A 23491-nucleotide genomic window follows, 5' to 3' on the forward strand; every position below is an offset into this window, starting at 1 on the left:
AGAACTGAGAGCCAATTAAACCTCTTATAAATTACCCAGTCTCAGCTATTTCTTTACAGCAATGTGAGAATGGCCTAATACAGGTGCTCAAGAAAAACAGAAAAATGGAATTCATGCATTACTTTTAACATATTTATTGAGCATCTTTTATGTGTCAGGCACTGTTCTCAGCATTGAGGCAATGGAATGGATGAATAAATGCACAGCAAGTGAAAATCAACAGGCTTTTCTTTCCAGCCCAGCACATGAACTTGGTGATGTCCATGGTCTCCTCCAAGGCCTTGTTTCCATATGCTGAGACTTTCCACTTTGTCTCAAGTATCTGAACTTGGTCCTTGACTTATAATCCCCTTAATATAACAAAAGAGACAGAAACAAATCTTGTAGTAGACTGGGGTTAATGTTTTATTAATGATAACCTACATTCACACTGCATTTCTAAGATTTACATCCAAAGAGCATACTGTATTTACATGCACCGGTCAGCCCAAGATAACAAATTCAAACCATGGCTGCGTTAAGACAATGGTTTGTTCCAATTAAATTAAACAGATAATACTCTTATCACCCCCCTTGGACATGTACAATAAGACCCCTCTTTCTCCCCTCAAGGAATATAAAATTGCATTGATAACTGCACTGATGAGCAACAATTACATTTGAAACATTTAAAACCTGAGAGAGAAACCCAAATATGTTTAAGCACTCACGTCTACACTCAAAATGCCCTGTGAACTCTAGTGTAACACAGATTGCTCAGTGGTCAACAGTGCATGATCTAGCTGGCTCTGATAGGGACTGACGCCGGCTGCTGGCTTTTAACGGGAAGTGCTATTCTTGCCCAGGGCAGAGAGAGCTACATCCCCGCTGCCTGCTTGACGGACAGTCAGGGGCTTTTGTTGTTGGTTTGTTTTTGCTTTTTTTTTTAGACGGAGTCTCGCTCTGTCGCCCAGGCTGGAGTGCAGTGGAGCGATCTCGGCTCACTGCAAGCTCCGCCTCCCGGGTTCACGCCATTCTCCTGCCTCAGCCTCCTGAGTAGCTGGGACTACAGGCGCCCGCCACCACGCCCGGCTCATTTTTTGAATTTTTAGTAGAGACGGGGTTTCACCGTGTTAGCCAGGATGGTCTCCATCTCCTGACCTCGTGATCCGCCCGCCTTGGCCTCCCAAAGTGCTGGGATTACACGCATGAGCCACCGCGCCTGGACGCTTTTTTTTTTTTTTTTGTCTTTTGTTTTCATTTTTTCTTGCTTTCAGGAGAAAAAAAATCTTTGGCCCATAAAGGTGGGATTTTTACATCATGAAGTATACATACATAAAACATGCATGTGGGCCGCGCATGGTGGCTCATGCCTGTAATCCCAGCACTTTGGGAGGCTGAGGCAGGTGGATCACCTGAGGTCAGGAGTTCGAGACCAGCCTGACCAATATGATGAAACCCCGTCTCTACTAAAAATACAAAAATTAGCAGGGCATGGTGTTGGGCGTGTAATCCCAGCTACTTGGGAGGCTGAGACAGGAGAATCGCTTGAACCTGCAAGGCAGATGCTGCAGTGAGCCGAGATTGCACCACTGCACTCCAGCCTGGGCAACAAGAGTGAAACTCCATCTCAAAAAAAAAAAAAAAAAAAAAGGCACGTGTTCTCCGGCAAGCACCTTCCATCGACTCCAACAGTTCAGCCATCGCTGTTGTACTATCGGGGTGCAGCACTCTGAAGGAGTCAGGCCCAACTAGAACCAAGTGGTCAAAAAAATAAATACACAATTTAAAACAATGGACAGCTAAGCTTGTCATGACAGACAGTGGGAATTTCATTCCATGATGCTTCATTTTTGCATTAAATACTGAAGATGACTCAGTGCATAATTGCTTTGTGGTCCATGAGACGCTTTCGTGAAGGCACTCCTATCTGAAGGACAGGCTGGGTGAACACCTAGCACTGTCACTTGAGACATCTTGGCTGGTCACCAAGGTGAGCCGGCATACTGTCTCCATCACCCTCTGGTGAGTCTTTCCCCTCACCGGGTGGGAGGAGAAGGCCATCCCTTGGGGTCGTGGAGCCACTCTCTCCTCACCACGGTGGGCTGCCCTCCCCTTCCTCACTTGCTAGTCCCCGCTTGGTGGCCGATGCCCTGCCCTCCTTGCTGTCACTTTGGGAAAGAGATCCTCCTGAGGCACGTGTCATGTTTTATTCTTGAGTGAATTATCTGACCATCACGGCCCTTGCTCCCCTTTTATGACATGTGCCTGTTATTTCTTTTGTTGCTTATGATGACAAGAAGGCAGTCCCGGGAGGGGAGTCTGGCACAGCTGCCCTTGGGAAGGAACTGGTGTTTCTGAGGGGGAGGGGGCTGGTGGGGTGTAGCAAATGCTTATGTACGGTTATCCATACTCAGTCAATTGTGAAGGGAACAGTATACCCACAATTCCACCCAAAGACTCTACAAAATAAATCTTTCTCTCCATCTCCCTTACATTTAGGGCCTTTCATTTTTAAGGCACTGGGTTGTGAAGACTTGAAGACATACAAGGTCAGTAAAACTGAAGACCTTGCATCCTGCTTGCTTCAAATGTGGAGAGGCAAACACAGGCTACTGGACCAGACGGGAACGGTTACCCACGGTGACAAAAGCAGGTCTCCAAAGCACAGCATTTTGGTTAGTGCATTCCAGATGTGTTAGCTACAACTGGGGACACCAACTTGAATAACACATTTTTCTTTTAACAAAACAAAAGTTTACCCTGCTTGGATGATGCTAAATGCCCTTAAGCACTAGGCCTTCGGTTGCCACTGAGAAAGCACACCATTTCCATTCCACTGTGTGTGAAGCCACAACCCTACTAATTCCTTCATTAACTCAACAAGATTTGCATCCCTTAATAAATCCAAGCCGATGCGGAGACATCAGGGGAGACTTTATCAGATGTCCCCCAAGGGAGGGCAAGTCTGGAAGTAGTGGGGTTATGCTTCACAGGGGAGAGATACTGTTCTAGGAAAAAAAAACACCCACATTTTCTGGAAGGAAAACTGAGTTTTTTTAAGAGCAGTGTTTCATCCCGAGCTAAGGTCAGGATTAATGCCTATTTTTCATTTGGTTTGCATCAGAAGAGCTCGTTTTCCTTCCCAGCAGCTCCAGTGGAATTACTTTTTGGAATTAGAACTGAGACCAAACAAAGTGATGATGTCAGTCATTGCTTCTTTCAGGTGCCTTCCAAAGCGATGAGAATCCTTTCATGTAAAAACAAAAACCAAAAACCTATTAAAACGTGGCCATCCCCACATTTCAAGCTTTTTCATTTGCAATCTGACCCAATGTTTCATTGAAATTCCTTTCTGCCAGTTCTCTAAGATCTGACCAACGTCTTAAAGCTTAACTTAGACATTCCAGAGAAATGCTGAGGGTAAAGAGATGACAGCTGATGTGTTTGTGCGGGTGTGTTGTCGATCTAAGCCTTCCCCTAATGCCAATGCGTTTATCCCACGGAAAACACAATGACCATCCTGAGCATGGTGGCTCATGCCTGTAATCCCAGCACTTTGGAATCGCTTGAGCCCAGGAGTTCAAGACCAGCCTGGGAAACATGGTGAAACCACATTTCTACAAAAAATACAAAAATCAGCCAGGTGTGGTGGCACTCCCCTATAGTCCCAGCTACTCAGGAGGCTGAAGTAGGAGGATCCCCTGAGCCCAGGAGGCTGAAGCTGCAGTGAGCCGAGATCACACCACTGCACTCTAGCCTGGGTGGCAGAGTGAGACCCTGTCTAAAACAAACAAACAAACAAACAACAAAAGAAAACCGCAGTGAACAAATAAACCCCAACTTCCTCTGTTAACAGCGACAGTGGCATGGGTTGCCAGGCTATGTACGACAAGGAAAGCAGAATATAAATAAGGGCAATGTGCCATGCTAGGGAGGAGGTCCCTTGTTCCATCCACAGAGGAAGCCGGGGGTCCCCTGCTCTGTATGCAGATTTCTTAGTGTGTACCCATTATTTTTAGTTCATCTTCCAAGTGCTAAAGAGTCTGAAAGTTACAGCAGCACTCCAACGTTAAGCTTCAAAACCATTGCTGCCAACAGAGGTAAACATGTTAAACCAAATTAGATACATTTCCTTTTTTTTTTTTTTTTTTCTGAGACGGAGTCTCACTCCATCACCCAGGCTGGAGTGCAGTGGCATGATCCTGGCTCACTACAACCTCCACCTCCCGGGTTCAAGCGATTCTCCTACCTCAGCCTCCTGAGTAGCTGGGATTACAGGCGTGTGCCACCACACCAGCTAAGTTTTGTATTTTTAGTAGAGGCGGGGTTTCACCATGTTGGCCAGGATGGTTTCAAACTCCTCACCTCAAGTGATTGGCCAGCCTCAGCCTCCCAAAGTGCTGAGATTATAGGTGTGAGCCACCGTGCCTGGCTGAGATACATTTGTTTAAAACTAGGTAAAGAGAATTTTGAAATTCACTTATGGCTGGGCACAGTGGCTGAAGCCTGTAATCCCAACACTGGGAGGCTGAGGTAAGAGGATCGCGTGAGCCCAGGAGTTCAAGACTTGCCTGGGAAATGTGGGGAGACCCTGTCTGTACAAACAATTTTTTAATTAAAAAAATTTAGGCCAGGCGCGGTGGCTCATGCCTGTAATCTCAGCACTTTGGGAGGTCGAGGCAGGTGGATCATCTGAGGTCAGGAGTTTGAGACCAGCCTGCCCAACATGGTGAAACCCTGTCTCTACTAAAAATACAAAAAAATTAGCCGGGGTAGTGGCGGGTGCCTGTAGTCCCAGCTACTTGGGAGGCTGAGGCAGGAGAATCACTTGAGCCCGGGAGGCAGAGGTTACAGTGAGCCAAGATCTCGCCCCTGCACTCCAGCCTGGGCGACAGAGTGAGACTGTGTCTCCAAAAAAAAAAAAATTTTTTTTTAAAAGCAGTCCATTTATGTGAAAATTCCCGAAATCAAGTAAAAGCAGGCAGTTGAATTGACTTTTTCTGTCAAATTAAAGATGTGTTTCCTTAAAAAGAATAAAGCAAAAATACCCCATCTTCAGAAAAAGGAACTTCTTTTCATACATACCGTCTCAGGGCAAGAGAACTTGGAAGAAATGTGGAAATTGATGAGGTTCTCTCCCACAAGGATGTACGACACACCATAGCCGTCATCAGCAACCTGGAGGACAAGGGAATTTGAATTTGTTGCTGGGAAATGAGACAACGTGAAAAAGGGACTTTCTAATGTTCTAAATGCAACACTGGCGGGGCTCGGTGGCTTCTCCTTGTAATCCCAGCATTTTGGGAGGCTGAGGCAGGCGGGTCACTTGAGCCCAGGGGTTCGAGACCAGCCCGGACAACATGGTGAAACCCTGTCTCTACAAAAAAATACACACACACACACAAATTAGCTGGGCATGGTGGCATGCATCTGTAGTCCCAGCTACTCAGGAGGTGGAGGTGGGAGGATCACCTGAGATGGGGGAGATTCAGGCTGCCATGAGCCATGATCATGCTTACTGCACTCCAGCCTGGGTGACAGAGCGAGACCTTGTCTCAAAAAAATAAAAAATAAGTGCAAGACTGCCAAGGACATCCATAGCAATGATCAGCAGTAATTCCTTTACGGCGGTAGAACCGCAAGGTAACGGGGGCACCCAGCACGGAGATGGGCCCATCACACCCCATTACCCATCCCATCACCACGCCCCACTGCGCCTCGCCCAGCCCCGCCGCACTCACCGGTCCAAAGCCCCCTCCGCTGGACACGTACTCTGGGTTATTCTCCAAGTCAAACAGCTCCACTTGCTGCTGAGGGGTCTGGCTTGTTGATAATCTCCAAGGCTCAGATAAAACCTATTGAGTGAAACAGGGAAATGTTTCCTAATCCCCTCCTCTACCGTCCCTCAGGAGTCGCTTTGGGAAGACGAGAAAAGCCTGGCTTGGTCTTTTGATTGTTCCACACACCACAAGTCTATGTCTCCAAAGGCCTCACTGGCTTGGGCAGCGTATCTGCAGAGAGCATGCGGGGTGGGTGGGGCCCCCAGACTGGGGCAGGGAGTGCAGGGTGGGGGTGGGGGCATACCAGCAAATAGCATCTCAGACAGTGAAGGTAACAGATATATGGAGTAAGATTCGGAACGGGGACAGAGGTGTCAGACTTGTACCAACTCCCACGAGCCAGCTGCCATATTTTCAGAGAATTTTCAAGCTGGCTATTAAATACAGCCACTATTAAAAATTAAATTTGCCAGGCGCAATGGTTCATGTCTGTAATCTCAGCACTTTGGGAACCCGACGCGGGTGGATTGCCTGAGCTCAGGAGTTCGAGACCAGCCTGGGCAACACGGTGAAACCCCGTCTCTACTAAAATACAACAACAAAAAAAATTAGCCAGGCATGGCAGCGTGTGCCTGTAATCCCAGCTACTTGGGAGGCTGAGGCAGGAGAATAGCTTGAACCCGGGAGGCGGAGGTTTCAGTGAGCCAAGATGGCGCCACTGCACTCCAGCCTGGGTGACAGAGCGAGACTCCATCTCCAAAAAATAAAAAATAAATAAATAAATAAATAAAACTTAAATTAAATTTGAGCTGGGCACAGTGGTGCACATCAGCTACTCAGCAGGCTAAGGACGAAGAATTGCTTGTGTCTAGGAGTTTGAGCCCAGCCTGGGCAACACTGTAAGACCCTGTCTCAAAAAACAATAATAATATATTTCATAAACTTACAATAAAATAAAGGATTTTTAAAACAAAGGTGGTACGCGCTCACAGCTCATCACTCCCTAGTTACTTCCGTGCGTCTTACTGTGACGTAAGCTCTCGAGGTCTTCGGGTCTATTAAGTCAGGGGCTACATGTGACAGCGAAGTTTTTGAAGAAATGCAGTACTAAACGCGCTGCTCACATTTTCCATTTTATGACAGCTACACCCACAGACCCGTTTTTTTCAAATGCCCATTCTGACATTAAAATATGTTCATGCAAGGCTGTAGTAATTTACTAAGTTTTGGTCTAGCCAATACAACTGACGGAAGAAGTGGAAGAGACTTACTTCCTTAAGGAAAGGGGACTCCACAGCGAGATATTTAGACACCACGTAAAGGCAGAAGAGGTGACGATCGATCCCAGAGCCGGTCATGGCGAGGCGATACATATGCTGATGCTTCTCAGACGCCAACTTGAACAACTTCAGCCTCTGTTCCACCTGAGTGACAAAAGGTGGGAAGGACATATGTTGCATGTCTCAAGTTGAGCAGTTACGGATCTAAGTTAGCCACCGCACCCGGCTAATATTTTTTGTTATTTTTAGTAGAGACGGGGTTTCAACATGTTGCCCAGGGTGGTTTCGAACTCCTGAGCTCAGGCAATCCGCCCACCTCATCCTCCCAAAGTACTGGGATTACAGGCGTGAGTCACCGCGCCCGGTCTGACAGCCTTTCCAGAATGAAGTTTGTCTCGGAAAAAAGAGCCCTGGCCAGTGTCTCCTCTGGGGATCAGCGGAAAGCACCTGCACGCTCTGGGGATCAGCAGAAAGCACCTGCACGCTGGAGTCAGGCGGACCCAGTGGCCTGGGTCTGACCTCGGCCATTAGTGAGCAGAATGGCCCAGCAGCTGCTGAATTCATCTAGGCCTCTGTTTCTTTATCTATGGAAATGAACTGATGACACTTCTCAGGACCACTGCTAAGAAAATTTAAAGGACAATGTACAGAAAACCCCCAGGCCCCAGCCTGGCACTTGGGGCCCAGCGTGGCAATGGCTCTAATAACCAATGGAAGGTCCCGTGCGACAGTCACAGCTCACCTACCCTGACACCAACCACCTGTTCAGTTCCAAAGCAGCCACCTGCTATGCCTTTCCTCATTGTGTGTCCTGGCCTAATTTAAAGACTCTCAGGAAGTAGAATATGATTTGGAGAAGTATCATTTGTAACATGCGTCTCTGTCCTTGTCCCTACCTTTACCTTTTAATATTTTAATACCTTCTGTACCCTTGAAAGGGGCAGAGGAAAGAAGCTGAATTGAGCACCCCTAAAGAAGAAGGTACAGGAATGATGAGATCAGAGAAGCTGGAGTGATGGCCTCCAGAAGCCTTTTAGGGAAGTGTGACAAGCACGTTGTGTCCTCAGCCTGATGGCACATTACCGTCTGGGCCGGGTCCACCATGGCCCGCACGAAGTCGCATGACTCAGTGGTGCAGGAGCGCACGGTCTCCGTCCTCCCCTCTCGGAAGAGCCGGGTCATGGAGGCCTCGTATGTGAGGCAAAACTTGCCCATGTCCTGGGGAAAGAGAAGTACTTCAGTGCACGGCAGGGCATGCTGATATGTCTAAAACGTAAGGAAGGATTGGGTAAGATTGGCAAGGAGACGTGGACTTCATTGTCAACATTTTTTTGAGACGGGGTCTTGCTGTTGCCCAGGCTGGCATGCAGTAGCATGATCACAGCTCACTGCAGCTTCAACCTCCCCCTGCTCCGGTGATCCCCCCACCTCAGCCTCCTGAGTAGCTGGGACTACAGGTGCATGCTAATTTTTTTAAAATTTTTTTTGTAGAGACAGGGTTTCACCACATTGCCCAGGCTGGTCTTAAACTCCTGGCTCAAGCGATCCACCCGCCTTGGCTTCCCAAAGTGCTGGGATTACAGGTGTGAGCCACTGTGCCCAGCCTATTGTCGAATCATATTTTCAGTCTCTGGCCGCTTTTACATGTGGGTAGTGACGTGGCAGCAGACAGGTGTCACTGGCTTCAGGAAGGGCCTGGTGGAGGTGGGTCAGTTTCTAGGTTAACCAGGTTTCTGTTTCAAGATGCAACTGATACTATGACACCCCCCCCACCCCCGAGTCCAACACACCTCTGCTGCATTCCCTTCAGGCTAAGGTGCAGCCTGCAGCAGTGTACAGAAGGAATGCCGTGCACAGCAGGGGATCTGTGTTTGAAATGATTTAAAGACACAACGTATTGCCTGGAGCAATTCCACTGCGTCTGGAAGATGGTGAGAATGATCTGGGAGAGACTGTGCTGGGGTGCAGGAAGAATGTCTAGCAGGAGGGCGGGAAGTGGGTGGGGCCGGAGCCTGAAGCACAGCCACTGCCCCATTAGACAGGAAGCCTCGGGTGGGCTGGCAGATGCACAGGGAAGGTCTCTTCCAAAAGCTCCTGTTTTCTGGGTGAAGCAGAAGAAAGCGGGCCTGCTGAGGGCCAGGCTGGAGAGGAGGTGCTGGCAGCGGGAGAGGGGTGTGATGTGGCATTCAGGGGCATGGAAACATGGTGCCTGGCCCACTGCGGTCAGCGCTCACTCGTGGGGAGGGGAGACGAGCCAGCTGTTGAATGCTTTTTTTCCAGCTAGGCTGGTGCCTTGGGAACAGAATCACAGCAGCTGGAGAGCTGGGCTGAACCCGGGAGCCTCTGCAGGCTCCCCAGGTAAGTTCAGGGGGACCAGGGAGTCAAGGTAAGGGATGATCCCAAAGAACCATGGAACCCACACCCAGAGAATAGAAAAGGGAGGGCAGGGAGGGACAAGGGGATGGGGTCAAGGAACGTGGGCATCTGGGCCTAGAGAGGACAGCACGGCAGGAGGGGCTGATGCCCCTGAGGCTGAGCCTTGGTGGAGATGACGGGATAGTGCAGCAAGGGCCCCTGCTGGGAATAGCAGATGGTGGATAAGGACAGAGACTGAGTCCAAGGCAGCACGCGGCTGTGGGAGGAACAGCATCTGCGTGCTGCCCCAAGAAGGGGCCCGGGGCCACCAGGCCAGCTCAAAGAGGACCAGGTTCCAAGTGGGGACGAGAAGGTGATAAGCAGCAGTTTATGGACCCAAATGATTCCTGACCAGACACATCCCTGCACATTAGTGTGCACCCTGGCACAGGCCCTGGTGGCCCCAGGGTGGCAGACCCACCCATCTGCAAAGGACACCATGTGGCAGGCTGATACTGTCAAATGAACCCAGAAGAGGGTGCCAGAGGCAAGGCTGGGCTGAGCACAGGGCCTGCTCAGCCTGGGGAAGGGGAAGCCGGACAGAGCACAGGACCCACTCAGCTGGGGAACGGGGAGCCGGACAGAGCACAGGACCCACTCAGCTGGGGAACGGAGAGTCAGACAGAGCACAGGACCCGCTCAGCCGGGGAAGGCCTGGCACCTGCACACAGGCCCAGCTGAAGTCAGGCTCCTCACAGTGCAGCCAAGATCTCTGGAGGAGAGGAGGCCCCTGAAAGGCAGAAGGTAGCGTCCAGGACCAGGGCCCCTGAAAGGCAGAAGGAAGCGTCCAGAACCAGTGAAATGAGAGTGCATCAGCCAGCAGAAAAAGGAAACTGAAGGCGTCGACAAGAGCAGCGGCTTTGCAGAGGGAAGCGTCTAGAGACCGTGGGAGCACGCTGGACACCAGCGCTAAGCAGCACTTGCAGTGAGGACCTGGCTGAGCCCCCAGGATCCCCCCAACGTAGCTGGCCGCCTTGGGGAGCTCTCTTCCCCAACCCACAGATGCCACCAACCCTGGTGGCATGACACGACACTCAAGATTCCCTTGGGAGCGGGGGTCACAGGCCTGGGGCCTGCCATGAGGCCACGGGGCCTCCTGCTTCCCATGCTGATAGCAAACGCGCCTTTCAGAGCCCTTCCCGCATCTCCTCACTACAGAGCACTTCATAGGCGCTCACAATGAAGAAGTGGGGAGAGGGAGAGAAGCAGATAAAAGGGAAAGCGGAAATGTGGCATTTTAGTTATTTAATAAAGGTAAACTTGAACTATATGATGCAATGATTCATTTGAAATCAATGTTCCAATATCAAACTTTAATTGTGTAAGTTATGAGAACAGTCATGCCTTGTGCCCACAGTTTAAAAGACAGCCATCTAAAAAACTTCTTGGCAAATGCATTGAATATTAGTGTGCAAGCCCCACTGGAGCTCAGACGCCATCAAAGAGCCAAACCAGGTTACAACTGCAGCACCCTTGACCCACTGTGACCAGCCGCCATCAGGAGGATGGCCCTTCGCTGCCACCAAAACATCTCCAGTTTCTAAGAAGCAGGATTCAAAGACAGTCTATAGATATACTGACATATATGGCATCACACACTAGCACTGTTACTATGGGGCTAATGATTCAGGTTGGTAGGGCTTCCAAAGCAGGAGGCAAATAACTGCTGCAGACTAGAATTAATACCACTGTCTAGTGTCAGCATTCAATCCATATTCAATATTCAATACTGATTTACTGATGCTCCCGGCACAGGCAATACTGTTGTAAGACAGATCATGCCTTTGCCCTCAATGAGCAAACATTCTAGCAGGAGACAGGGATGAACAAAAAAATTCTATCACATCAAGTCAGGCCACTGAATAGAAATAACACAGGAACAGGGAACTAGGGAACAGAACAATGCGGGAGGGGCTACCTTTTTTTTTTTTTGGAGACAGTCTCACTCTGTCGCCCAGGCTGGAGTGCAGTGGTGTGATCTTGGCTTACTGCAACCTCTGCCTACCGGGTTCAAGCAATTCTCATGCCTCAGCCTCCTGAGTAGCTGGGATTAGAGATGCGTGCTGCCATACCTGGATAATTTTTGTATTTTTAGTAGAGACGCGTTTCCCCATGTTGGCCAGGCTGGTCACAAACTCCTGACCTCAAGTGATCCACCTGTCTCAGCCTCCCAAAGTGCTGGGGTTATGCTTTATAAAATGAAATACACAAGGTTATTGTGCATAACCTTGAAGGACCCCTTCAAGGGGTCAATATAACACAAGGTTATATTGTGTATAACCTTGAAGGACCCCTGAGAAGGGGTCCCCAGGCTCTCCTAGGCTGCCCAAGGGGTCCAGGGCAGAAAAAAGGTTCAGAAGCTTAGAAGAGACCCACAGGGCCACAGCAAGGTTCTGGATTTATGTAAAACCACAGGGAGGCTCTGCAGCTCCCAGCTGGGTTGAGATCGGTCTGAATGTTAATTTTTGAATGAATAAATCTGATGTATACTTTTAATAGATCACTTTAATGGATCTGTCATTTTTATTTTATTTTTTATTTTTTTGAGACAGAGTCTCACTCTATCGCCCATGCCGGAGTGCAGTGGTGCGATCTCAGCTCACTATAACCTCCGCCTCCCAGGTTCAAGGGATTCTCCTGCCTCAGCCTCCCAAGCAGCTGGGATTACAGGTACCTGCCACCACGCCCAGCTAATTTTTTGCATTTTTTGGTAGAGGCAGGGTTTCACCATGATGGCCAGGCTGGTTTCGAACTTCTGACCTCAGGTGATCCATCCGCCTCGGCCTCCCAAACTGCTGGGATTACAGGCGTCAACTACCACGCCCGGCACTCCAGCCTGGGTGACAGAGTGACACTCTATCAAGGAGGAAAAAAAAAAAAAAAGAAAAGAAAAAGGAAACTTCACAACATCACCTGCTAATATTTTGCATTTATCCTTTCTAGACTTTGCATGTAACAAAGCAAGAGTTGGGAAACTTCTGTAAAATGCAGAACAGGCTGTGCGGGCCAGGTGCTCTCTGTGGCGACTACTCCGCTCTCCCACTGGAGTGAGAACAGCACAGACAACATGTGAAAGCCGGGCATGGCCGTGCCCAGAACGCTTCACTGATGAACACTGAGACTTCACGTAATTTTCACATGTCACAAAGTATTGGTCGCCTGTTGACTGCTTTTCAACTACTAAATATGTGAAGCCATTCTTAGCTTTCTAAGCCATGAAAACAAAAATGAAAACAAAAACATTGAAGGGCCAGGTTTGGCCTATGAGCCACAGTCTGCAGATCATTGTAAGAAACACCTGACTTTCACAAACTGTTTTATGACTAAATATTTTTCCGTATAATATGCCATAGATGGCTGGGCGTGGTGGCTCACACCTGTAATCCCAGCACTTTGGGAGGCCAAGGATTGCTTGAGCCTAGGAGTTTGAGACCAGCCTGGGAAACAAGGTGAAACCCCATCTCTACAAAAAACATAAAAATTAGACGGGCCTGGTGGTAAATGCCTATAGTCCCAGCTACCTGGGAGACTGAGGTGGGAGGATCGCCAGCACCCAGGGAGGTCGAGGATGCAGTAAGCCGTGATTGTGCTACTGCATTCCAGCCTGGGCAAGAGTAAGACCCTGTCTCAAAAATATATATACACATATATATGCCTTAGACATCACTTAATAGCTATATAATATTCCGCTGTGTGAAAATACCCTATTTTAATTTAGTATCATGAAAGGAAGATTCACTCTGCCGAAAGGAAAGGATTACACTGAAAGCTTCGTGCAAGAAGCTGCCTTTTTCTTTTGTTCCCAAGCACAGAGTGACGGATAAAAGGCGAAATGTCTCCACTCTGGGTTCACCGGGTTTTGTGTAACAAATATGTAACTGACGATTCCCCTACCGCCCCTTTTCTCTTGCATCATGGGAATTCCGTAACGTGGCCACGCCCTCCCTTCCTTCCCCTCCTGCCTGCTTTTCCTTTTAAATACTGAAGCCCTCAAAACCACCTTTGGAGGAAGGCACAGGCCTGTCTCCCAGGCACGCATCTTTAACCTTGGCAAAATCAACTTCTAAATAAATTGAGACCTGTCTCAGACACTTTCTAGTTTCCAGTCTTTTTTTTTTTTTTTTTTTTTTTTTTTGAGAGGGAGTCTCGCACTGTCACCCAGGCTGGAGTGCAGTGGTGCGATCTCGGCTCACTGGAAGCTCCGCCTCCCGGGTTCACGCCATTCTCCTGCCTCAGCCTCCCGAGTAGCTGGGAGTACAGGCGCCCGCCACCGCGCCCGGCTAATTTTTTGTATTTTTAGTAGAGACGGGGTTTCATCGTGTTAGCCAGGATGGTCTCGATCTTCTGACCTCATGATCCGCCCACCTCAGCCTCCCAAAGTGCTGGGATTACAGGCATGACCCACTGTGCCCGGCCTGCCAGCATTAACTTTTAAGATTTCTTCTTCTTCTTTTTTTATTTTTTGAGACGGAGTTTTGTTCTTATTGCTCAGGTTGGAGTGCAGTGGCGTGGTCTTGGCGGCTCACTGCAACCTCCACCTCCCACGTTCAAGTGATTCTCCCGCCTCAGCCTCTCAAGTAGCTGGGATTACAGGTGTGCACCACCACCCAGCTAATCTTGTATTTTTAGCAGAGATGGGGTTTTACCATGTTGTCCAGGCTGGTCTCGAACTCCTGACCTCAAGTGATCCACCTGCCTAGGCCTCCCAAAGTGCTGGGTTTACAGGCACGAGCCACTGCGCCTGGCCAGATTTCCTCACATTTTTACAGTAAGCTTGCTCACACGTGTTTTTTGTGTACCTACCCTTTTTCATGGATCATGTGCAGGGTCAAAGTTATTCTTCCCCGATGCATGTTTCCAACTGTGTGGTCTGTGCTGCTCCCAGTCCTGCCATGGGGCCCCTAAATTTATTAAAACTATTCCCAGCTGCTCTATGAACATCCCTGCCTCAGTCCACCCTCACCAACATGAAAAAAAGCCTTTACCAACCCCGTAGGCAAAAATCTAGTCTTGTTTAAGTTGTACTTGTTAGATTCTTGGTAAGATTAAGCTTATTACCTACACTCATTGACCGTATTTTTCCTCTCTTGTGAACCACAGTTTCTGGTCTGACTCCTTATTTCTCTTGGATTATTTTTTTCCAAAGGCAACCACTTAGCCAGATTTCCCAGCTCCATTTACTCACCAGCTCCCCGTCCCCTACTGATGTCAAATGCTCCCTCCATTACACGTTATTTCCCAGGCCTGCTTTTGTACGAGGACTGCAGCATTTTATTTTTATTAAAAACAATTTTTTTAAAGATAGGGTCTCACTGTCATCCAGGCTGTAGTGCAGTGGCACGATCACGGCTCACTGCAGCCTCCACCTCCGGGGCTCAAGTGATCCTCCCACCTTAGCCTCCGGAGTACCTTGGACTACAGGCATGCGCCACCATGCTGGGCTAATTTTTTTTTTTTTTTTTTTGTATTTTTTGTACAGATAGAGTCTCCCCATATTGCCCAGTCTGGTCTCAAACTCCTGGACTCAAGTGATCCACCTGCCTCAGCCACCCAAAGTGCTAGGATTATAGGACTGAGACCACTTTAATCACAACAGTCTTCTAACTCCTACACTTTAAGTTTTAGGATTTGAAAAAGTACATGTCCACCTCCCCGTGTCCTGCCTCCGCCTGATTGCTTTTCTTTTCAAAAATGTTACAGGTGACTCTCAAATGTTAGCCTTTTCAAGCCTCAAGATCAACTGGGCAAGCTCCTCTCCTGAAGCCCCTGCCTGACCTCTCACTGTGTTCATATTAAATGTGTGAACTAAGCCAGGCATGGTGGCTCAGGCTTGTAATCCCAGCACTTTGGGAGGCTGAGGCAGGCGGATCACTTGAGGTCAGGAGCTCGAGACCAGCCTGGCCAACGTGGTGAAACTCCGTCTCTACTAAAGATACAAAAATTAGCCAGGTGTGGTGGCAGGCACCTGTAGTTTCAGCTACTCGAGGGGCTGAGGCAGGAGAATCACTTGAACCTGGGAGCCGAGTGAGCAGCCGAGGCTGCAGTGAGCCGAGATCGTGCCACTGCACTCCAGCCTGGGCAACAGAGTAAGGCTCCGTCTCAAAAAAAAAAAAACAGTGTGAACTGGGAACATCCCTTCCTCTATGGTTCTGAAGTTTTTTTTCATCCAAAATCATGGCTTTTTCTCCCTCTCCCTGGGGAGGAGTTGGGGGGCGAGTGCTCCTCGGCCTTCTTCCCAGAGTCCAGTCTGCTTTATACACGTATGCCTGGAAGGTGGGGCCCCAGATTCTCGTTTCTATTACATTCTCTTATTATATTTCCCACTTGGCCATCATCCTTGTGCAAGAAAGCTGGTGGTCTTTGTGCAACTCTGCGCTGGGCCGGCTCACTGGGTGTGCCTCTTAATCGTCAAAGCCTTTCTGCTGTTCCATCTCCTGAACAGACATAAATGTTCTTCCTGCCCAATTACCCTGTCATCTGCTAGAGGCATCCTCATCTTTCTTGTTTTAAGGGGACTGCCTCCCACACTTTTACTTTGAAGCAGTAGCTAGCTATTAATACACGATGCCACTTATCCTGTTAAGGAAAGAGCCCTATTACTAAGCCCCTTGACCAAGAGCTCTTATCAGGAATGGATGTTAAACGTGAAACGTCTTCTTAGGATCTGTGAAACTCACTATCTAGGCTCTTCTCTGACCCAACAGTATGGTTTAGTGTATGACTGGATTTACTGACACAAAACCAGCCTCTCACCGCTGGTGTACGCCACTGTGGGTGACTATTCTTTTCCTACAGTGCTGGATTCTAGTTGCTAAGATTTTATGGAGGGTCTCTGCACTTCCATTCATGCGGGAAGCTGGTCTGTGCTTCCTTTTTCTGCGTTTAGCTGCAGCACAGTGATGAGAGCCACAGGTTCTCGAACAAGCCTGCCTGCTTCCGATCTCAGTCCTGCTGCGTACGAGCTGGAGCCCTCAGGCAAGATGCTTCACCTCCGAGTGTGGAGGGCAGAGATGAAGAGATGCCTTCCTCGGGGCCGTCCTGAAGTTTCGCTCGCTCCTGCCAAGTACATGGCACAGTGGCTGGTGCCCCTTGCAGCTCATTCCCACACCTGGGCCACGTGGGTTCTGGGGAGCAGATGGGGTGGCTTCCTTTGTGGAGTCTCTGAGCTGCAAGCTCTTTGGAGTCACAAGGGTGGCTCCCTGACAACCTCTCACTTTGGTCCCTGGACCAGAGGCCTTTTCAGGTTTTCTACCTTGAGTCAACGTCACCAATTTGTACTGCTTGCAGAATAGTCATTTCAGCATGTTTCAAAATGTACTAAACTGGAGCGTGGCATTTCCTTACTAAACTCCTAAGTCCTGCGCTTACTTGCAGGGAATTCTTTTAAAAAAGAAAAAAATTTAAAAAGATAAAATAACATCCTTTCTGTAGGTAAGGTATCAACTGCTTGCATGCCCTCATACTGCACGTTTACGGGCAAAATCTGCTCATCAATTCTCAAAATCCAGCTCACTGATTCTGAGATGCGATGCCTCTATTCCATGTCACCTTTTAATCACATGATCTTTAGTCAATGATCTGTCACAGACAGGAGCTTGTCACTGTGCTCCTGGTACTCTGCCCAGCTGCTTCTGGTTTACGCATAGTGAGCATGTTACTTGGGAAAGCAAGGCTTCATAACTGTGACAGTCTTTACAGACTGTATTAGCATGCATTTTAAATACGATTTTGGCCCATTCATTCCAGTTCATCTGATATTAACACTGCCTCTTACTTCTCTGTAACTGTTTTCTTAACTTTAGGTGGAGAGAGCATAGACTCTGGAGCCGCTGGCCCGCTTTATCCCTGCCTAGTGCCACCCTGGCAAGCACCTGGCCTCTCTGCACCTGTTTCCTCACCTGTAAAATGGGAAAACAAGATTTTCTGAGGCATAATGGGGACTTGTAAATTTTTAAAAATGGGATAACAAGAGTGCCTCCCAGGTGCAGAGACAGTGAAGCATGAGGTACATGATGCACCAAGCAAAATTCAACAATGGCACAATCGTTACCAAGGTTGGGGGGGCAGTGCCACACGCTGCATATGTGTACAGCACTCAAGTTTTAATACAAGGCTGGGCACGGTGGCTCACGCCTATAATCCCAGCACTTTGGGAGGCCAAGGCGGGTGGATCACCTGAAGCCAGGAGCTCGAGACCAGCCTGCTCAACATGGTGAAACCCCATCTCTACTAAAAATACAAAAAATTAGCTGGGCATGGGGGCGCACACCTGTAATCCCAGCTACTCGGGAGGCTGAGGCAGGAGAACTGCTTGAACCCGGGAGGTGGAGGTTGCAGTGAGCCGAGATCATGCCATTACACTCCAGCCTGGGTAACAAGAGTGAGATTCTGTCTCAAAAAAAAAGTTGGGAATATCTCAAGCCAATGCCACGATGACTTGTGCTGCCCCCAGAAACCAAGGGCCCCCTGTCTGGGATGGAATGCTCCCTCCAATGGACAAGAAGACCCATTTATGTCCCTGCTAGGGGTGCAGGCTGCTCCTCCAACAGGGGTTGCCAGGTGCAAGCCAAAATATGGCCAGTGCTCAGAAAAGGGAGATGGAAATGCCATGTGTATACAGGGGATCCAGCCCATGGCACCTCCAAGTGGCTGGAGTTTCTCCTTTTATGGAAGGAGATGTCAAAGGCCAGAGACGTTAAGTAATTTGCCCAAAGACATCACTTAATAGCTATATAATATTCCACTGTATGAAAATACCAAAATTTAATTTAGTATGGTGAAAGGAAGATTTACTCTGCCAAAAGGAAAGGATTAAGCTGAAAGCTAAGTCATGCAAGAAGCTTTTTATTTTGTTCCCAAGCAGAGAGCGACAGATGAAACGTGGACCATGTTCACCTGACCTGTGTGAAGTGCAGATTTACCGAGCGCCAGACGAATACGTAACTGACTATTCCCCTACCTGCCCACACTATTTCCACTTTAGCAAATGCTAGGATTCGGGGCTTATTATGGGGCTTAACTCTCCCTCTGTAGAGTGATGAGATCTCACTTTGTCCTCATCCCCCAGACTCTCCCTCTCCCGTGTCAGCTGGGAATCTACGCCTGCTGGAGGGGGATTTGCGAACTTTGCCCGCGTGCGTGGTGAAACACCCAACGCCACCCGGCCCCCGGAGACCGGGGTCGGGGGGAGCTGTGCTTCTCCTATGCCGGGTTTCGGGCCTTCCCTCCCCACTGGGTGAACAGTCTTGGGCAGGTGTAGGAACCCCCAAAGTGCTCACGACAAAACCCTAGGCGGTCAGTTCTTACCTTGTAGTGCGCCAGCTGGAGGGCCAGCTGCACAAAGGCGTCTGGGCTCGTGCGACATTTCTTGATGATTCCTTTACCAAAGGCTACGAATGGGAAGGAATGGAAATCCACGTCGTTTGCCAGAAGATTTGCGGTGTTCAGGGAGGTCTCTATAACCTCTTGACACTTGAGAGAAAGAAGAAAAAGGTTTTACGGAACGAGGGGAGAAAAGTACTGACGCACACCCAGAAGGAAATTGGAGGCTGGTTTTTAGTGCAGCTATAAACTCGGTACTGGGAAGTACACAAACGTTTTCCTGACCCAGAAGCCCTAGTAAGTTAGGGGCATGGCTCCCTGACCCCGGAGGAGCAGCTGCAATGTTATAGCAGGTAGCGGGTCTGACATGAGCAGGCCAGGAGAGGGCTTCCTCCGACACACACTGGGAATATCACGCGACCATCAGTGATGGTCAGGTGGTTGTGAACTGTCTCTCTAAAATAATAATAGGTCACAGCCGGTGCCAGGGAAAGGCAGTCTCTCAGTAGATAGAAATGGAGCTGGTGACCAGCAGCTTCCCGATAAGATCTCAAGCGTTGGGCGAGTGGGCTGAAGCATGCGCACTGAGAGGCAAAATGGCGGCGTCTAACTGGACTATGAGCTTCCTCCAGCAGTGCTAGACAGGCAAGGGCAGAACACCTCAAGTGAGCATGCGCACAACTCCAGTAAACATACTGCGCATGCTCCCTTCCCAAGCGCTGGAGCCACTGTGCATGCGGACAGCCCACAACAAGGGAGGAATTGGGAGAAGTAACACAAGACCCTGGACGCATGCCAATGTATAAAACCTCAAGTCAAGAGGTCAAACCTCGCACTTAATCTCCCAAGTTGGCCGCTTGGCCCTCTTCCAAATGTACTTTCCTTCCTTTCGTTCCTAAAGTTTTTAAAATAAACTTTCCCGCTTTTAAACTTGGTCTCTCCTGCCTTCTGCCCCACAGTCAAATTCGTTCTGAGAAGGCAAGAATTGAGGTTGCTGCAGACCCGTACAGATATGTTCTGACGCTAACAGGAACATGGGTAGGGGACGGGGGCACCCTGGCTTCCAGTGAGACCCCAAAGGGTGTTTCAAATAGTCACACGTCATCTTATGATGACGTCATCACACAGTGGCAATCAAGAAACACATTTTTTTACTTTTTATTATTAATTTTTATTTATTTGAGATAGGGTGTCCCTCTGTTGCCCAGGCTGGAGTGCAGTGGCACCATCGCTGCTCACTGCACCTTCTGCCTCCCTGGTTCAAGCCATTCTCCTGCCTCAGCCTCCGGAGTAGCTGGGACTACAGGCACTTACCACTATGCCCGGCTAATTTTTGTATTTTTAGTAGAGACGGGGTTTCACCATGGTGGCAGGCACCTGTAATCCTAGCTACTTGGGAGGCTGAAGCAGGAGAATCGTTTGAACCTGGGAGGCAGAGGTTGCAGTGAGCTGAGATCGCGCCATTGCACTCCAGCCTGGGTGACAGTGCGAGACTACATCTCAAAAAAAAAAAAAAAAAAGAAAAAGAAAATGGTATCTTGGACTCCAGGGAATTTCTCCTTGGATTAAGTGAACTAGGATTTGGTATTTGCAACCCTAAAATTCCTTCCCAAAAGGGCTCCTGTGAATGGGCTGCCTCTGAGCATGTTTAAGAGGTGCCAAAATGAATTAAACTTTGAGAAGTATAAATGAGCAATTTAGAGGCTTTCAGCTCTAACCTATGTGATTTTGGCTTTTAGTTTTTGATTATGAGCATTCTGTAGATGTCTAGTTAAGTTTAAGCTGGAAATAGCGCTGACAGTCTTAGCCAGGAGCTTCAAACAGAAGAAGAAATATTTACCGAGGCTTCCGAGGCAACAGGAGCTGTGACAGCCCCGCAGACCCACGGAACTCCCTGAGCAAACAACTTTCAGCCTCAGTGGTCTTCAACTGAGCTCATGATAGGGCAGGAACTACGGTTGGAAAATTCATCTGTAAGACTTCAAATGTGTTTCCCATCCCAGGTAAGTAACAATGGTTGGATAATCCGGACTTACTTCCCCCGGGATGTCCCACTGCAGCCTGGTGGGGTACGGAATGTTCGGATTGATGTCGCCTTTGCAGTGCCCATCCTCCGCATAGCCCAGCTGGAGGCTGTCAATGGACATGACGTACTGTCAAAAATAGAACAAAATTATTAAAACTAACAGTGGTACATAAAACACATTAACCTCCAACATGAAGAGAGGGTTGTTCTTTGCAGAGATGTTACAAAGTTTGAATCACAGCTGTTAAGGCTTCCAGTATGCTCAGCACCTAATGAGGTGGATCTGATCTCCATGTCAGATGTGACAGAGAGAGGACAGACGAGGGCTAAGGGCTTGCTCAAGTTTGTGACGCTCTCCTTTCACTGGCAAGTAAACCTAAGCCAATTTATTCAACGGTGTTTATTGGGCACCTACTATGGGTTGGAACCACTGTAGCATCAGCGGCATCCAAGCCCTGGTGACAGCGCAGACAAGAACTGTGTTTTGTGAACAAAACAGACAAGAATTCTTGCCCTTCCTTAAAAAGTGAAATATACCTGTATGACCCAGCAGTTCCACTCCTAGGTACATACTCACTGAAATGAAATGAATAGATGCTCACACAAAAACTTGTACAGAATGTTCAGAGCAGCATTATTCATAATAGCCAAAGAGTGGAAACAACACAAATGCCCATCAACTGATGAAGAGATAAACAAAGTGTGGTCAATCCATACAATGAGATATTATCCAGCCCTAGAAAGGAATGAATTCCAGGTATGTGTTACAACGTACTGAACCTTGAAAACATTATGCTGAGTGAAAAGAAGCAGGCAGGCGCGGTGCCTCACTTCAGTAATCCCAGCACTTTGGGAGGCCAAGGTGGGAGGATTGCTGGAGGCCAGGAGTTCCAAACCAGCTGGGCAACATAGTGAGATCTTATCTCTACAAGAAATTTTAAAAATTAGCCAGGTGTGGTGGCACATGGCTGTAGTCCCAGTTACTGAGGAGGCTGAGGTGGGAAGATCACCTGAGCCCAGGAGGTCATGGTTTCAATGAGTCATGACTGTGCCACTGCACTCCAGCCTGAGCGACAGAGCAAGACCCTGTCTCTAGAAAAGAAAGAAAAGAAAGCGAAAGAAAAGAAAAAAGAAGCCAGACATAGAAGACCACATATTGTATGATTCTATCTATATAAGATGTCCAAAATAGGCACATACATACACACAGAAAGATTAGTGGTCATCAGGAACCTGGGGGAGAAAGGAATGAGGGATTTCTTTTGGAGGTGATAAAAATAGTACAGAATTAGGCTGGGCTCTGTGACTCACGACTGTAATCCTAGCACTTTGGGAGGCCAAGGCGGGTAGATCACTTTAGGTCAGGAGTTCGAGACCAAGCTGGCCAACAAGGGGAAACCCCGCCTCTACCAAAAATACAAAAATTAGGTGGGTGTGGCGATGCACGCCTGTAATCCCAGCTACTCGGGAGGCTAAGCAGTGACTGTTGCACAAGCACCTCGTGAATATACTAAAAACCACTGAATTGTACACTTTTAAAGGGTGGATTTTAAGGTATGTGACTTATATCTCAACTAAAAAAATTAAGTTTTTTTAAAAGAGGAATCCCTGTGCTCAGGAAGCTTACATTCTAGTGAGGGAGGTAAAAACAACAACACAAGGTCGGGGTGACTGTCGGCTGGCGAGGCGGCGGGGCGGGTGGAAGGTGCCGCTAATACGTGGGGGTCACAATCCAGGCTGACCTGAGCCAGCGAACGAACAGACTTGATCAGGTTCCACCTGCTCTGGGTCAGAGCTCCAGAAGAGCCTGACACAGAAACATCAGAAATAAATCAAGAGCAAGACCGGGTGTGGTGGCTCATGTTAGTAATCCCAGCATGTTGGGAGGCTGAGGCAGGCAGATTGTTTGAAGCCAGGAGTTCGAGACCAGCCTGGGCAATGTGGCAAAACCCCGTCTCTACAAAAAATACAAAAATCAGCTGGGCGTGGTGGCGCACACCTGTGGTCCCAGCTACTCGGGAGGCTGAGGTGGGAAAATTACTTGAACCCAGGAGTTGGAGGTTGCAGTGAGCTGAGATTGCACCACTGCCCTCCAGCCTGGGTGGCAGAGCAAGACCCTGTCTCAAAAAATAAAAAATAAAAATAGAACAAGAACAAGAACAAACAGACTCAAGTTTGACTAGATCTGTCTTTAAGGGACTGCACTGGGCCCCCATGTGAGACTAGGTCAGTCCCCATCTGTGTATGGATCACATAAGCCCCCAGCCAGGGGTCCCTGGAGTCAGGCCATCCTGTCTGCTGGACGCTAACAACTAAACACCACTACTTCTACGTGCCCACCCTGGTCTAAGATAAAATCCCTTTATCCTTATCCAGAGAACTTTAAAAAACAAGCCTGATCTTGTAAATATCCAGTAGATTTCTCTACTTGATAAATGTACCCTGTGTGATCCAGCTGCCTATGGTCCCGACTCTTTTTCTTTTGCCAAACAACAGCTCTTAGGCATATAGGACTCGGGAAGTCCTTGGCCTGGGGTATAACAAGCCCGGGCTATTATGCTGTGCAGAGATTTATTAAAGCGTGCCTTCTTGCTACGTCCAGAGACACTGAAGGCAGCTTGATCTTCAATGCGCTCTGTAGCTAAAAGGCTCTCTCAGCTTTTGTCGACATCGCCAAAGAACCCTGG

The 23491-nt window shown here is 48.6% G+C and overlaps 1 protein-coding gene and 1 long non-coding RNA gene across 11 annotated transcripts in view, besides 1 other annotated feature; one reads left to right on the forward strand and one right to left on the reverse strand.

Moving 5' to 3' along the window:
• Positions 119–23491, reverse strand: part of CPT1A (carnitine palmitoyltransferase 1A) — an 89658-nt gene continuing 66285 nt past the window's right edge. For 5 of the 9 annotated variants that reach the window (NM_001440363.1, NM_001440358.1, NM_001440365.1 and 2 more), the window contains 7 exons: positions 20815–20931; positions 18764–18928; positions 8126–8260; positions 7034–7186; positions 5724–5837; positions 5068–5160; positions 382–3229 (listed from right to left, as the gene is read on the reverse strand). In NM_001440363.1, the coding sequence (NP_001427292.1) occupies positions 3143–3229; positions 5068–5160; positions 5724–5837; positions 7034–7186; positions 8126–8260; positions 18764–18928; positions 20815–20931 (864 nt within the window). In that variant the 3' untranslated portion in view covers positions 382–3142. Of the gene's footprint in view, positions 351–381; positions 3230–5067; positions 5161–5723; positions 5838–7033; positions 7187–8125; positions 8261–18763; positions 18929–20814; positions 20932–23491 lie in introns of those variants that run through there. The other 4 variants (NM_001031847.3, NM_001440360.1, NM_001440364.1 and 1 more) reach the window with 3 other exon arrangements.
• Positions 8830–10727, forward strand: LOC124902699 (uncharacterized). Of its 2 annotated transcripts, XR_007062751.1 has the most exons (3): positions 8830–8973; positions 9323–9400; positions 10156–10727. It is a non-coding gene; the product is annotated as an uncharacterized LOC124902699 (long non-coding RNA). The 2 variants fall into 2 exon arrangements; XR_007062750.1 differs by lacking the exon at positions 8830–8973 and having other exon boundaries at positions 9246–9400.
• Positions 9039–9841: an enhancer, noted in NCBI's record as "H3K4me1 hESC enhancer chr11:68531008-68531810 (GRCh37/hg19 assembly coordinates)". NCBI's record gives its function as "activates a minimal SCP1, AML or CMV promoter by ChIP-STARR-seq in naive H9 embryonic stem cells {active_cell/tissue: H9 hESC(naive)}" and the evidence as "EXISTENCE:reporter gene assay evidence [ECO:0000049][PMID:30033119]".

The sequence above is a fragment of the Homo sapiens genome, chromosome 11 (genome assembly GCF_000001405.40).
Source record: "Homo sapiens chromosome 11, GRCh38.p14 Primary Assembly".
NCBI classification, from domain to species: domain Eukaryota; kingdom Metazoa; phylum Chordata; class Mammalia; order Primates; family Hominidae; genus Homo; species Homo sapiens.